The sequence below is a fragment of the Homo sapiens genome, chromosome 22, assembly GCF_000001405.40.
Source record: "Homo sapiens chromosome 22, GRCh38.p14 Primary Assembly".
NCBI lineage: Eukaryota > Metazoa > Chordata > Mammalia > Primates > Hominidae > Homo > Homo sapiens.
In genome coordinates, this window is record NC_000022.11 from 44,134,375 (window position 1) to 44,150,094 (window position 15,720).

Here is a 15,720-nt window from a genome sequence, read left to right on the forward strand (position 1 = left end):
ACATTGGGATGTGGTTCCCAAGCCTACCTACGTCAGCTCGGGGCCCCAGGAGCCCTGTGCAGGCTCAGAAACTGGAGTATTTCCTTTCAGGCTTGCACTTGGGTCCAAGATAATCTTTGCGGTTTGCAGAAAGTTTGAACCAGGCAAGCACTTGCTGGTGCTTCCTGCCATAACGGGTTAGAGGAGTGTTGTTTGGCCACGACCAAAGCAGAATGAAACGGGAGCAGGGGGTCCTGTGAACCGGGCGCAGTTACTCCCCAGACCTTAGAGCCGCCTTCTGTCTTCTCTGCAGCCCCCTGGCCTCTGAGCTTGCTCAGGGGACCCCTTATCTAACCCCAGATGGAATGGTTGGTGTAAGGGATGTGGCATTTCCAGGGTGGAAGGAAGGAAGGAAAGGGCCTTATTTACTGCCTGGCCACGTGGCTTTGGGCTGATCACTTGCTTTTGCTGAGCTGCAATGCTTTTCCCCATAAAACCAAGATTTTACTACAAACCTGTAAAACATCCAGCTTCATGTCTACAATCCTAGACCTGGGCCCAGCACCTGGTGGGTGCCTCAGGCATGTTTGATCCTTGACTAGGTGAACACAATGTCTGGACCTTCCTTGGCAGGCACTCCTGAGAATCAGGATAAATGTCACCCACACTGTTGTTCAATAACAAGCACCAACCCTGAGTATTCCATGGAGGTCAAACTCAGGAAAGGGATGGAAGCCCAGATCTTGGTGGTGTCCACTGTGGGCTGGCCCAGCGGGAAATGAGTTCCCAGTCCCTTGAGGGGTTCAGTGGTGGTTGGATTAGCCACCCAGGCTCCATCTGGAGCTCCTGTGACAGGCGGGCTGCCACCCCTACCATCACCACTGCCATGCCCCCCTCACTACCATCATTACTTTTTTTTTTTTGAGATGGAGTCTCACTGTGTCACCCAGGCTGGAGTGCAGTGGCACAATCTCAGCTCACTGCAACCTCTGCCTCCTGGGTTCAACTGATTCTCCTGCCTCAGCCTCCCAAGTAGCTGAGATTACAGGCACATGCCACCACGCCCAGCTAATTTTTGTATTTTTAGCAGAGACCGGGTTTCACCATGTTGGCCAGAATGGTCTCAATCTCTTGATCTCATGATCTGCCTGCCTTGGCCTCCCAAAGTGCTGGGATTACAGCTGTGAGCCACTGTGCCCGGCCATCATTGCTTTTCTATACCTGCCACGCTCTGGGAGAAGTGTGACATATACTGTGTCAGTTTCCTAGGGCAGCCATAACAAAGTACCACAAACCAGGTGGCTTAAAACAGCAGACATTTATTCTCTCGCAATTATGGAGGCCAGAAGTCTGAAATCAAGATGTTGTCAGGGTAGGATGTCCTCCCTCATGTCTCCTCCTCTAGGGGAGGGGTCTTCCTGCCTCCTCCAGCTTCTGGTGGTGGCTGTCAGTCCTTGGTGTTCTTGGCTTGTGGCCACATCTCTCCAGTCTCTGCCTCTGTCATCACATGGCCTCCTCCCTCTGTCTGTTTCTGTGTCTGTTTCCTCTTCTAATAAGGAGGTGAGCCATATTGGATTAAGGAGGGGCTCACCATAATCCATGATGACCTCATCTGAGCTAGTATCTGCAAAGACCCTTATTTCCAAATGAGATCATGTTCTGAAGTTTGTGGTAGATATGAACTTTGGGGGACCCTCTTCAGTCCCGTGCACACACATGATTGCAGGGGATGTTCCCTGTTATTTATGTTCCTTCCAATTGCATGCCTCACCTCTCCTGGCTGCAAAGCATAGAGGATCCCTTTGGGGAATCCTGACCTGGGGTGTTTCTCCTGAGACCCACACAAATGCCAACTCTCAAGGCCACGTGGAGACCAGAGGGTGGGGAGGAGGATAGGGACAGGTTGTGGTCGCTGAAAGGCACCCTGCCCAGGGTCCCCTGCTGTGTACTCACCCAGGCCTGGCATGCGTGTTCAACACCACCCCTCCTTCTCCTGTTGCTCTTTTCTAAGATGATCTCCGGCCCCGCAGCTTCGTCTGCCCTGTCAGTGCATCTTTCCTCAACTCTCCACTGCCTGATTTTGTATGTTTATTTTGGGGTTTTCAGAAACGGGAAGGCCTGCTGCATTCCAGCCACATCTCGGAGGAGCTGACCACAACTACAGAGTAAGTGGACCCCTGTCTTGCCCTTCCAGGCCCTGCTGCCCCGAGTGAGTGGGACCCCAGGCTGCCACTTCAGCCAGGGACACCAGCGCCCATGGGGCTGCTCCCGCTCCACACCCCTTCTCTGTAGCATGTGATTCTCATGCTGGTTCCCACCCCAGCTCTCCTCCCTCTGCACACTTTCTTCAGAGTTTTTAACATTAGAACTGAGTTACCTTCCACAGACTTTGAATTTTTTCATTCCTATCTTAAAAGGTGAGCTGTAAGAACATTGCAAAGTGGGGCAGGCAGAGAGAGTTCAGGATGGTTAGAGAGAACCATTGTCTCAGTTCATTTATCCATCTACATTAGCCCCATCAGAGGTGGGAGCTACATCTTTAAACCAGAACTTTCCTTTGACAGACACTACTAAGCCATCTGTTATCTCCTAGAGAAAGCCAGAGGGCAGGTGTTCAGAAGTCTAAAAGGCTTCAAATCTATTGAAAATAGCAAATCAAACAGTATCTGTGGTATGTGGTTTTAAGGACTCCTTGTGATAACCTGCTAAGAATCTTTAGAATTCACTGCATTTGTGCCTCTTGACTAAACCTGTTTCAGATGAAACAGAACATTTAAAAATTGATTGTCTCAGCTAATCCATCAGCTAAGTTCACAGAGTGATTAATTACTGTGTTGTGAATTCATGGATGGTATTTCAAAAATTGGAGCTGACACAGGAAACCACTCGTGGCTTGCAAGCTCTCAGGGAAGATGATGGGACAGTGGAGTGCAGGCTGATGCATGTGCAGAGGCCCATGAAGAGGCCTCCCAGTCTGCCCCAGGCCCACGAAGGGAACAGGGAGAGCTGGAAAAGGGGAGGATGAGAATGTGGTTCTTTGCCCAGCACAGTGGGCCTTTGGCAGCAGCTCTGCCTATTCAGCAGTAGGAGAAGGGCTGCTCGTGGGGAACTGGGATTGGGCTGGTGTCTTAGTTGTTTATTGTTGTGTAACAAATCACCCCCAAAGTCAAGTGGCTTAAAACAACATCTGTTTCATTTGCTGCTCACAATTCTGTGGGTCAGCAATTTAGGCTGGGCTCAGCTGGGCGGTTGTTCAGCCAGTCTCGCCTGGGGTTGCTCATATGATGCAGACATCTGAAGGCTGGATGGAGGCTGGGGAGGCTGAGATGGGCTCCCCCTACCTCTGGTGGTTGGTGTTGGCCTCCCCTGGGTCTCTTTCCTCCTCACAGTGCTGGGCATCTTCCCAGGGTGCTCTCAGGGTCCTGAGAGAGTGAGAATGCAGCTGCAGTCCCCTTGAGGCCTTGTCTTGGACATCCATACCTATGTCCTCAATTCTGTGAGTCAAAGTGAGTCACAGGTCATCCTGGATCAAGGTGCAGGAAACAGACTCTGCCTCCTTGTGCAGGAATGGCCTGTGCACATTGTTGGGTGGTGGGCATGCTGTGATAGGAGTTCCCCTCTAGGTGAGGGGGTCCCATATGAGGACAGCAAGGAGGAGCTGGGCCCCCTGCCATAAAACTAGAATGGTCCAGAGACAGAGAATGAGCAAGTGGGTGGGAGAATTGTCTCAGCTATTCATCAGCAGTAAGTGGCCCCAAGGACCTGCTGCATGCCAGCCTCCTTGCTGGATCAACAGAGACACTGAGAGGTGGGCTGAGTGCAGTTCTTTTCCTCCAGGGCGACCCATCCTGCTGATGAGAAAGGATGCATCCACAGACATGTACAGTCTAACACAGGGGCTTGTGGGAAGTGCCTCGGGGCCCTAAGGGAATTTCCAGGAGGAGGGGAGCACCCCAAAGTCAGGGAAGGGGAGATTTCAGTGAAAGCCACCTCAATCAGATATCAGATGGCCCTGAGCAGTGAGGAAGGGAGTTGGGATTTTCTAGCCTGAGTCAGTGTCCCTCTGCCAGCCAGGGTCAGGGTAAAGGAGAGGCTGGGTCACCTCTCCAGGATGATGCCCCAGGTAGGTTCTCCTCAGGGCTGGTCATCCCATCCTTGTCTCCTGTTCCTTCCCCTCCCCGTGGCTGCGGAGGCTCTGACGGAACATTTGAATCATTGGATGTCTGCTGAAAACCAGCGGCCCAAAGATCCACATTCAGTTTCCTAAGGCAGCATTGCCACCTCCTATCCAGTCTCAGTGTTCCCCTTTCTCTTTCAAGAGGTGGCTATGAGGTCACCCCTTCCAGGAAGCCCTCCTGTCTGCCAAGCAGGAGTGCTTGGCTTCCTGTTAGTTCCCTTAGCCTCTGGACACATGTGGCCAACATTGAAATATTGGCTTATGAGGTCTGTCACTCCCAGGCATCCTGAGGGCAGGGCCACATAGTGTTTATCTCCAGGGGATGTTAATTTCTGTATCTGCACAGCCTGCACATAGTAGGTACTCAAGTAAGTGCTTGTTAAATAAGATGGAGCCAAAGGACTTGAGCCTAGAGGGATTTGGGGACAAAGTAAAGACTTCCTTGCCTCTCAGGAAGGCAGTGCATGGAAAGGATCTGTGCACTCACTCACTGGGAATCTTTGAGGAGAAGCTGCTCACCACTCCCGTCTCCCCCATTGCTTCCGCTGCCGCCTGCCTGAGATCAGGGCCTGGCCTCGTGGTTCTCCAGGATCCTTTAGTTCCACAAGTCCTGCAAGTACATTGTGTTTACTCCTGGAAACATGAGTAACCTGCAACCTTGTGTGTGTGTTTGTTTGTTTATTTATTTATTTGAGACAGGGTCTTGCTCTGTTGCCCAGGCTGGAGTACAGTGGTGCGATCCCAGCTCAGTGCAGTCTTGACCTCCCAGGCTCTAGCGATCCTCCCACCTCAGCACCTGAGTAGCTGGGACTAGAGCGCACGCCATGACACCCAGCTAATTTTGTATTTTTCTTAGAGGAGGTTTTGCCACTTTGGCCAGGCTCGTCTCCAGCCTTGCATTTTTTTATTGTTTTGTTTGTTTGTTTGTTTGTTTTTTGAGACAGAGTTTCACTCTTGTTGCCCAGGCTGGAGTGCAATGGTGCAATCTCTGCTCACTGCAACCTCCACCTCCTGGGTTCAAGTGATTCTCCTGACTCAGCCTCCCAAGTAGCTGGGATTACAGGTGCCTGCCACCATGCCCGGCTAATTTTTGCATTTTTAGCAGAGATGGGGTTTCGCCATTTTGGCCAGGCTGGTCTCGAACTCCTGACCTCAAGTGATTGACCCGATTCTGCCCCTCAAAGTGCTGGGATTACAGGCATGAGCCCCTGTGCCCGGCCCAGCCTGTGTTTTGAGCGTTCCACGGCTGCTGGAAGACCTGTTGTCTGCTGAAATCTTCATATTAACCACTCTTCTGATTTAAGTACCTCCCCTCCAAACAACATTACCAGGGTGGTTAATGTGCAAATAGAGATGGTGATTTGCTGCTGACCTTGTGCAAACATTAATAATTCACACAAGCACCTCTCGTTTATAATTAGAGCAGGCTGGAACACAGCACCATGTGACTTGCGTTCTTATCAGTAGGCCTTTACCTGGGCAGCGAGGGCCCAGCTTTCTGGCTGGCTCTGTCCCTCATCCTCCATTGTGCTGCTTGTGAAACTGTGTTCTGAGTGACCCATCTCATGGCTCTCTCTGTGTTCTTGTTTGCAGGATGATGATGGGCCGGTTCGGTAAGTAACCCCAGGGAAAGTGGGGAGATGGAGGCATGTTAGGGCTCCCCCAGGAAGCTCCCAGAGAGTGTACATGGTTATCTGGAGGGAGTGGGAAACTAGATGGGTCTCACTGCCCCCATAGTTCTGGAATCCTAGAGAAAGTGCACAGCCCACCCCCACCTTTCTGTATAATGGGCTTGTTTCTCAGAGCTGAGAGTGGCTGGGTTGTGCTAGGAGGAGTGGGGTGGAAGGCTGGGTGACCAGCTAGGGGAGCAGGAGGGGCCTGGGATGTAACACTGGCTGGAACTGTCAGGGGCTGGAGCAAGAGTGGTTGAGGGTAAAAGGGAGGGAGGAGAGGCAGCCAGCACATGGAGCGTCGTTAGCTGGCTGGAAGAGAGTGGCTCAGCTCTGTGGATGTCCTTCCATGTGTATTATTTCCTCCTGGAAACCACTGGTTTAGCAGACTTCCTTAGAGTCAGGCAGCCAGGGCTCATTCCTGGCTGGTGGCTTGTGGCCTGCCCCTTCCTCTCTCTGCTCCTCATCCGTGAAATGGGAGTGTAAAAGGCTCTCCCCAGGCAGGGGCTGCTGTGAGTATTGGGTGAGATCACAGGTGAGTGCCCTGCTTGGCCGGGGGACAGCCCTCTATGTGGGCTGGTTTTATTAGTGTTGGTTTTCAGTGGCTCTTCCCAAAGAGAGAGAGGTAATCACTCTCTCTTCCCTCATGAAAGCCTGAGACCTCATCTTCATCTCGGTGAGGGATGGTAACGTTTCAACCCTCAGTACCAGGATACCCCGGCCCTCGGCCTGGCCAGCCTCAGTGCTTTGGGAAGCATTTCAAAAGAGAAACCTCTTGACCCCCAGATACCCTGTTCTCCAGTGAGCAGGGAGGGGAGAACAGCTCTTAAAAGGAAAAATGGAAACCAGATAGAAGTCTCCCACCTGCCTCTCTAGCGGAGCTGATATCTGTCTTTTGGGGGCCCTCTGGGTGGGGGTGCCACCCCCTGAGTCCTATACAATGAGGGCTGGGCCAGCTTGGCCATGGGGCTCTGTAACCTCAAGTTATTATGGGGACCAGCTAGGATGCCATTGCTGCTTATCTATTGTATTAGGGTTCTCTAGAGGGACAGAAGTAATACGATAGATAGATATATATAAAGGGGAGTTTACTAAGGGTATTAACTCACACGATCACAAGGTCCCACAATAGTCCTTCTGCAAGCTGAGGAGCAGGGAAGCCAGTTTGAGTCCCAAAGCTGTAGAACCTGGAGTTTGATGTTCGAAGGCAGGAAGCATCCAGTATGGGAGAAAGATGGAGGCTGGGAGACTAAGCCAGTCTAGTCTTTTCATGTTCTTCTGCCTGCTTTTTATTTTGGCTGTGCTGGCAGCTGATTAGGTGGTGCCCACCTGGATTAAGGGTGGTCTGCCTTTTCCAGTCCACAGATTCAGATGTTAATCTCCTTTGGCAACACCCTCACAGACACACCCAGGAACCACGCCTTGCACCCTTCAATCCAATCAAGCTGACAGTATTAACCATCACGCCTGTGGAGAGGGGAAGTGGCTCAGATCCTGCGGGGCTTGAATTGAGAAGATGCAGCCAGCGTGTCCCCCCTAGGCTTTCTTTACTAGACCTTAAGCTGTGCTGGGAACATTCACAGGCCTTCTCTGTTTTTTGTTTGTTTGTTTGTTTGTTTTTAAGGAGAATTCCAGCTCTTTTAAATTGTCTCTATTATTAAAAAACAAATGCAGGAAGAGAAAGAGAAACATCCTGTATATAGTTGCTGAGGGAGGCGAAACCGCAGTGGGGTCACAGCTCATGGGACCGGGGTGAGGCGTCTCCCCACCCTGCGTCTAGGTAGAGGCGCGTTTTGGGGGCCCAGTGCCCCCCTCTGTCACCTCTTCTCCATCTTTTCTTCCTGGAGGAGGCTCAGAACCCCTTTGGAATTGTAGAGGCCTAAAGATGAGGAGAGGGCCGGGCGCGGTGGCTCATGCCTTTAATCTCAGCACTTTGAGAGGCCGAGGTGGATGGATCATGAGGTCATGAGATCGAGACCAGCCTGGCTAACATGGTGAAACCCCGTCACTACTAAAAATACAAAAAAATTAGCCGGGCGTGGTGGCGGGCACCTGTAGTCCCAGCTACTCGGGAGGCTGATGCAGGAGAATCGCTTGAACCCAGGAGGTGGAGGTTGCAGTGAGCCGAGATTGCGCCACTGCACTCCAGCCTGAGTGACAGAGCAAGACTCTGTCTCAAAAAAAAAAAAAAAAAAAAAAAAAAAAAAAAAAAAAGATGACAGTGGGCCCCTCAAGCATTTTTGAGTCTTTTTGTTTTTTTTGTGGCGCTGTCACTTTTGTGTTTGGTTCGGGCCTTGTTGGAGGTTTAGGGAAAAGACAGTCTGTTCAGTTCAGTTGGGAGCACATGGGCCTCAGGCTGTGTATAGCACCCTGTGGCCCGAGGGCCCAGAAGCCTGGCCCCGGAGCCCCTGCCACCCCATGAATGAGCTTTAGGGTCTGATGGCTGGGGCAGTGGCTCCCTAGGTAAGAGCCAGGTGTCACATGTGAAAAGTGGACCCAGCTGCCACTCCAGGGGTGGGAGGACTGTGGAATCGCAAGACCATGTACAAGAGGCCGATGGAATTGTTCTCGTTACTTTGTAGGCTTTATGTGCTGTGCTTGAGAAAATGCAAACAGGCTATTAGTCGGTGACAGGCAATTAGTTCCACCCCCGGCCTTGCTGCTTCTGCTGACGCAGGTTCCGAAGTCTCCTGGTTACCCAGCCTGGCACCCTCAGGCACAGCAGGGTGTCTGGCCCGGCACCCGCCCCTGTGGGGGCAGCAGCACGCCTTGTCTTCGCTTCCCTGCCATGCCATTCCCCTCCTTCAGCCCCCGAGAGCACCCCAGGGTGCTCCCTCCTCCAGCAACCTTCACCTGAATGCTCTCCCTCTAGATTACCCCATGGCTCACTCTTTCAGCTCTGCCAGCTCTTGGTTCAAATGTCACTGATCAGGGAGGCCCTCTCTGACTCCACTGCCCCAAACTGGCCTCCACTGGCTCTCCTCCCCACCCCTGCCTTAGTTCTTTCTGTACTCATGTGACACACCAAGCAGCACTCAGCTCATGGGGATGGCCTGGCTCCTCTTCCCTGTGCCAGTGTTTACACAACGAAGCTTGCACGTGTCTGGCAGACACTGGTGCCAGCAAACTTTCAGGGGCACCCACAGCCCCTGCCTTTCTCCTTTCACACATGGCTCCTTGACCCAGAGGTGCTCTGTGGGCTGGAGCTGACCTTTCCTCGGGGTGCACCCCACCCCCTGCCAAAGCAGCCAGCCCTGGCCACAGTCTGCACGCAGCTGGGGGCAGATGTTTTAGGAGCTTCTGGAAGGCCGGGCAGACCCTCCTTGGCTAATGTGCTGGGCTTTGCCAGGAGTGGTCTTCTGGGCCTCAGTTTCCCCACGAGTACCCTGAGCCAGGGAGGGATGGGGACTCCATTCTGCCCACTCCCCATCATTCCGGGGAGGGAGGTGGCTCCACAGGTCCTCGCTGCCTCCTGACAGCATCACTGTCCTGGATGAGGTGGGTGAGGAGGCTTCTCTCCACGGAAACAAGTCTCAGGGGTTCCAGGGAGGTTGCAGCCTGGTCTCCATGGCAATGGGTGAGCTGGTGCGGCTTCTCCGCGGGCGGCCCTTCCCCCTCCTGGGCCTGCCCTGGGCTGGAGGCTCTTTCTGAGGCAGAGGGGAAAGAAGGGGGATGTGCCTTCCTCACTCTCTTCCCCCTCATTGTAACTCCTAGTAATTCCCCTTCACGTCTCTCCCATTTCTGCCAACAGGGCTTGTTCCAAAACCTCTGGCTCCATCCCATCACCCGTGGCTCCTGACTGTGCCCTCCATAACTCCCACGTTGCAGGCCACAGCCCCTGTTAACCCCTCTCACAGTCCACCCGGCTCTTGAACCTGCGCTGGGCTTTCTGGCATCTCTCTCTCCTTGTGCCTGCTGGTCCCTCGGTGGAGCGCCTTTCCTCCTCCTCTTGCCCCAGCAAGCCTGGCTTGAACCCCAGGACTGCTTTGTGAAGCCTTCCTCAGGTCCCCCCAGCCCTTGGTTCATGGGTCCCAGACTCAGGTGTCTCCAGGGACCAGGCTGATAATATAAAAGAGGAGAGTGTCTAGATTATGCAATGATAATGTCATCTGCCCCTTCACCCCAGGGCTGGGTGGCAGTGGGGAGTGGTGGGGTCTGGCGCAAGCTGGAGAGTCCACACCCCCATCCCCAGGGGCAGCTTATTGCTGCCAGGTGGGAGTGCAGGCTCACTGTTGCCACAGCCTCCAGTTCTTCAAGAGAAGCCAGAAGTTAAGAACTTTTGGACAAACTTTCCAATTTAAGAACTGTTCGCTCTCGCCGGGTACCGTGGCTCACACCTGTAGTCCCAGCACTTTGGGAGGCTGAGGCGGGTGGATTACTTGAGGTCAGGAGTTCAAGACCAGCCTTACCAACATGGCGAAACCCCGTCTCTACTAAAAATACAAAAATTAGCCAGGTGTGGTGGTGCATGCCTGTAGTCCCAGCTATTCAGGAGGTTGAGGCAGAATTGCTTGAACCCGGGAGGCAGATGTTGCAGTGAGCTGAGATCATGCCACTGCACTCCAGCCTGGGTGACAGAGTGAGACTCTGTCTCAAAAAGCCTAAAGACCAAAACAAAACAAAAGAAAACAAAACAAATGAAAACTGTTGACTCAAATCAAAACATTACAGCGACCAAGCTGAGCATTCCTGCAGATTGAGCTTGGGCAGCCCTGGCATATGGTCAGGTCGGTTGGCCCCCCGTCTGGCTTCGTCTTTTCTGACACTAACAGGGTTGCACTATCATAGTTTACTCCCTCTCCAGGCCCTCCCCCAAGTCTGTGCCTCTTCCAAGAGAGGAGTCCCTCCTTGTTTATCTCTGTGATGTCCCCAGAGCCTGCGGAGGCTCTGGGGGACAGGACGAGCGGGAGCTGTAAGGACTGAGGACCGACAATGCTCCTGCCAGGCTCCATGCTCCTGCCTCTACTCACTGCCCCACTTAGTTCCACACCAAGAGCGAGGCAGGGGCTGTGAGAATGCTGCCTTTATGGAGGAAGAAAGGGGGTCGGAGAGGGAAGGATTTGCCCAGTCATGGGGTGTGAAGTGGGGCAGCTAGAACAAAATAGGATCTATTTTCGTTCCCAAGGCCAAGCACATCACAGGGGTGCAGTATGCTCTCTCTGTCTCTCTCTCTCCCCTAGGTCAGGGTGGTCCCTGGGGAGGCCCCTGGGTTACCCCAAGACAGGTGGGAGGAGCTTCCTACCCGACCCTCTTCCTGTCAACCTGGGCTCTGCGGCTCCCAGGGCTGCTCCTTGTATTGGGGCCCCAGCCTGGCTGGTAACAGAGGGTCCCTCCACTGGGCTCAGTCTTCTGAGCATGCTCTGCCCCCAGGAACCTGGAGGATGGAAGTTGGGGGCCCTGGGTCCCTTCCAAATGCCCTTGGGTCCTGTGCCTGGTCCCCAGTGCCCATTTTCAGAGCCCCTGGCCCCTCCCTGCCTTGTGGACTGTGTGACGTGATGCCAGTCCCCTGGGTCCAGGGGCATGGCAGCCGGCGGAGAGGCCTCTGCGGCCCCGATGTCTCCTTGAGTGGCTTGACTCTGCCAGCCCAGCGGTGGCCCAGCTAAATATACCCTGGCTGACGTCAAGCACTCTTCTGCTCCTGGGGTTTTTCTTAAGCTGCATTTATAGTTTGCGTATTGCTTTGTAAAGATGTAAAAATTTCACTTTTTTTTTTTGTTTTGCCCCTTAGCAGACTGTCTTATTGAGTGTAGTCTTAGATGATTATGAAAATCATTTACAGCTGCCGCATTAGGAAGCTGGCGTGTGTGCAGAGGCAGGGCATTTTGGTCAATGTTGGTCTTTAGGTGAAGAAAACTTCCCTCCCTTCCCCCAGTCACGCACATGCTCACACACGCACACATGCGCTCACACAGGCACACACACGCTCACACGTGCTCACACATGCACACACGTGCTCACACGTGTACACACGCTCACACCGCACACACGCACACCCGTGCTCACACGCACACATGCTCACACATGGACACACGCTCACACACGCGCTCACACGTACACACGCTCACAGCACACACACATGTTCACACACAACCTCACACGCACACACGTGCTCACACACGCACACATGTGCTCACGTGCACACAGGTGCTCACACACACACATGCACACACGTGCTCGCACACGCACACATGCTCACACACGCAAACACGTGCCCACAATGCACACACATGCTCACACGCGCACACACACGTACACATACACTTTCCTTCTCTCCTTTCCTCTTTGTTTCTCACCACCTCCACAAGGCCACGGAAGGGGCTACTTGGGCTGGGCTGGGCAGGGGGGTGTGAGCTGCCTCCTGGGGCCCAGCCTGGGAGGAAGGGTCAGCATGCTTCCTCTGGGAGGAGGCTTGGCCAACTTCTCTCCGTAGGTCTCTGGCTTACCTGGGCCTAATCCCTTCTTTCTTTTTCTGGGCTCTCTTTGTCTCTCTCCTAGGCCAGGGCGGTCCCTGAGGAGGCTCCCCTAGGCCACCCACTAGACGGGTGGGAGGAGCTTCCTACCCCACTCTCTCCCTGTCAAGCTGGGCTCCGCAGCTCCCAGGGCTGCTCCTTGGGTTGGGGCCCCAGCCTGGCTGGTAAAAGAGGGTCTCTCTGCTGGGCTTGGTCCTCTGAACATGCTCTGCCTCCAGGAACCTGGAGGATGGAAGTTGGGGGGCCCTGGGCCCCTTCCAAATGCCCTCCTCCCTGTCTTTTCTGCCCTGGCAGTGATGCCCCACAGCTCTGTGTCTACCTGGAGACCTCAGCCCTCTGCTTGGGGTCCAAGTCTCTGTTCCATATGCCCCTATGGAACTCCCCCCTCCATGGCAGCAGGAGCAAAGGCTCTGAGGCAAGTGTGCACCAGTGTCAGCAGGAGCAGCTGGGAGGCCGGTTGGTGGAGTGAAGTCAGGGAGGGTGCATGTAGGAGGATAACGCTGAGTCTGAGTGTCCCATGGCACGTGGGAGAGAGGATGGATTTTATCTGAGTGTCCCATGGCTCGCAGGAGAGAAGATAGATTTTATTCTAAGCATGATAAGAAGCAGTTGGAGGGTTTTAGTTGTGGTGGGAGTGGAGGGGGGAAACAAATGATCCTGTTTGCACTTGGAAGGGCTCACTCTGCCTGCTGGGGAGAAGGGCTCAGGGGCCAGGAGTGGAGTAGGAGGCTGCAGCTGCTCCCAGGCGAGGGGCAGTGAGGCGTGAGCAGGACATGGCCACCGTCGCGGGGGAAGTGGTTGGATTCACAGGTGACATTTGCCAGTAGACAAGGAGTGTGGGAACAGGGAGAATTCAGGACGCCTCAAGTCCTAGGACGTGGCAGGTGCAGATGCCAGATGCCATCTATGTGTTTCATATGAGAAGGTAAAAAGCAGGTGGAAGGGACCCTCTGCAGCCTCTAGTCCACGCTGTTCTGGTTGTTCCCAAGCGCTCTTGCTCGCCTTGGTTTGGCCGGGACTGATCATCAGGGTCAGCCCTTTCATTCTGGTAGGAATTGGAAGGATTCTAGGCAGGTGTGGGAGTTGAGGCTGAACCTCCTGAGGGATCAGAAGCTGGCAGGGCCCTGGATTAGGGCAGCACCACGGGTTTCCATAAACGCTCCTTCGTGTCTCTCTTTGCATGTCCTCAGAGCGGGATGCCTTCGACACGCTGTTCGACCACGCCCCGGATAAGCTCAGCGTGGTGAAGAAGGTGAGCTATTGGTGGGATGTTGGATGTGCTCTCCCCTGGCTCGCGGCTTTTTGACAGCACAAACGCCCCGCTGGGAAGAAGGTGGGAAAATGTTTGGAATCTCAGAAATGTTTGCCACATGGATTGAAATGTAATTACAGTCAAAAACCTAACCACAGTGCATAAAATCAGCGCCTTTTAACTCAACCTCGCTGCTCCCTGGGTGTCTTCCTGCCCGCCCGCTCCGCTTCTGTTAAGTGAATTACCCAGCCCCCATTTCTTTCTGACTCGAGACCTTTTTTCAATGTGGAAATGTTTTTAAGCATGTCAGCCTGCTGCTCTCGCTGGCCTCATTTACCATCTACAGCCTGCCCAGTAAACACGCAGGCCTGTGCGGCTGAGCTGTGCCATACATGGATTTGGCCCGTTTCCCTCCAGACAGAGAATGGGCCCTCACTAGCCCAGGCAGCCTGCTGGTCAATCTGTGGATGGAAAAATCTCCGAGGCTCTGGAGTTGGGGGCTGGGTGTGATCAGCTTCTGGGGGATCTGCCAGGGAGGCTTGTTCCCGTCAAAAGGAACTGGAGCCCACTGGCTGCTCATTAACTTATCCGAGTGCCTGCAGGCATCCCATTCAGGAGGCTGCTGCATCCCTCCTTCCCATAACATCGGAGGAGCGCTCATTTCAACCCATGGTGCAGGCAAGAGAGTTCTCCTTTGTCTAGGACAGCTTACCCAAACAGCTTTCTTAGTGCAAGACTTGTCAGAACCTTTAATAGGCTGACCTATACTGTACTTCTCCAAGAGGGAGCTTGGTAGGAAGCATTTTTCAAACTTGTTTGTTTATAGTGGGATTTATTTATCTATCAATTTTGGGGTAAGACGCATTGTATTTTAGTGGAACCCACTTTTGGAAAATGTTGGCCTGGGTTTGGACGATGAGATCATTCATTTTTGGAAGCATTTTGCAAAAGGCTGTTGGAACCGTGCTAATGGTCCTTCTGGGACAAAGCCTTCCTAGCACTCTTGGGTGGTGAGGGATATACTTGGAGCATCAGAGTCCCCCACCTCCACCTCGTCACATGTGGCCCCCAGGGACCCTGACAGAACCGGTTCAGGGAATGAATCAAATCCAGCTTCCCCACTTATCAGCTGTGTGACTTCTGGCGAAGGGCGAGATTATACCCCCCAGCCTCAGTTTCCCCATCTGTCAAGTGGGGACAGAGATGTTACCCACCTCTCAGGGCACTGTGAGGATAAACTGGGATTCTCTCTGTGCATGGGCTTAGCCGGCAGCGTATAGTCACTGGTAGCATTGAGAATGGTGTGGCCTGAGATTGCTTTCATCTCTCGGTAGATACCATGTTAATTCATTCTGCGAAAGACACATTTTCGGCACTGGAGCCACCAGCAAGGAAGAAGACAGAATCCTTTGATTTGCCTGGTAGCTTCCCACTCCAGCCTGTCCCTTCCTCACCTCCACATTGCAAGTTTAGGTGTCTGTAGCTCTCTGTGCCCCAGAATGAAGTCAGGGGCCCCTGCCCACCTCTGCAGGTTTCTCCCTGGGTCGTCCCCTCCTACTCCTTCCCATCCCACCCACATCCAGCCACAGCCTGAAGACCCCAAAGGGTTTGCAGATGTGTCTGGGTGCCCACTCGGCTCACTCTCACCTTGCACTGGCCCACCCTCAGGCCCAGCTCCAATGCTCCCTCTCCATGGTCTTAACGGGGGTCCGCACACCCATTAATGGCTCATGAAATCTCCCTTGCATTGCGTGTTTCCCTGTAGTGCCCTATCTCTTGACTTCTCCGTCCCACCACTACACGCATATGGAGAATTACATCACAGGCCCTTTGGCGGGGGCCAGGGGTGGAGCTCTCTGTGTTTGTGTCCTTAGCACCAAGCAGCATGCCTGGCACATAGTAGCTGCTCAGTAAATTTGAGCAGAATGGGTAAGAAATCATATCATGGGCAGGCTGGGCGCGGTGGCTCACGCCTGTAATCCTAGCACTTTGGAAGGCCGAGGTGGGTGGATCACAAGGTCAGGAGATCGAGACCATCCTGGCTAACATGGCAAAAACCCGTCTCTACTAAAAAATACAAAAAAATTAGGTGGGCATGGTGGTGGGCACCCTTAGTCCCAGCTACTCGGGAGGCTGAGGCAGGAGAATGGCGTGAACCCGGGAGGTGGAGCT

At 53.6% G+C, this 15,720-nt stretch overlaps 1 protein-coding gene across 11 annotated transcripts in view, besides 3 other annotated features; it reads left to right on the plus strand.

The window, feature by feature from the left end:
• The window catches only part of PARVB (parvin beta), a 173,729-nt gene that overhangs the window by 135,164 nt on the left and 22,845 nt on the right, over positions 1 to 15,720 (plus strand). For all 11 annotated transcript variants that reach the window (NM_001003828.3, XM_024452236.2, NM_013327.5 and 8 more), the window contains 3 exons: positions 2,086 to 2,144; positions 5,750 to 5,769; positions 13,487 to 13,548. In NM_001003828.3, coding sequence (NP_001003828.1) covers positions 2,086 to 2,144; positions 5,750 to 5,769; positions 13,487 to 13,548 — 141 coding nt within the window. The remainder of the gene's footprint in view (positions 1 to 2,085; positions 2,145 to 5,749; positions 5,770 to 13,486; positions 13,549 to 15,720) is intronic.
• Positions 11,067 to 11,696: an enhancer, noted in NCBI's record as "OCT4-H3K27ac-H3K4me1 hESC enhancer chr22:44541321-44541950 (GRCh37/hg19 assembly coordinates)". NCBI's record gives its function as "activates a minimal SCP1, AML or CMV promoter by ChIP-STARR-seq in primed H9 embryonic stem cells {active_cell/tissue: H9 hESC(primed)}" and the evidence as "EXISTENCE:reporter gene assay evidence [ECO:0000049][PMID:30033119]".
• Positions 11,697 to 12,326: an enhancer, noted in NCBI's record as "OCT4-H3K27ac-H3K4me1 hESC enhancer chr22:44541951-44542580 (GRCh37/hg19 assembly coordinates)". NCBI's record gives its function as "activates a minimal SCP1, AML or CMV promoter by ChIP-STARR-seq in naive H9 embryonic stem cells {active_cell/tissue: H9 hESC(naive)}" and the evidence as "EXISTENCE:reporter gene assay evidence [ECO:0000049][PMID:30033119]".
• Positions 13,585 to 14,214: an enhancer, noted in NCBI's record as "OCT4-NANOG-H3K27ac-H3K4me1 hESC enhancer chr22:44543839-44544468 (GRCh37/hg19 assembly coordinates)". NCBI's record gives its function as "activates a minimal SCP1, AML or CMV promoter by ChIP-STARR-seq in naive and primed H9 embryonic stem cells {active_cell/tissue: H9 hESC(naive and primed)}" and the evidence as "EXISTENCE:reporter gene assay evidence [ECO:0000049][PMID:30033119]".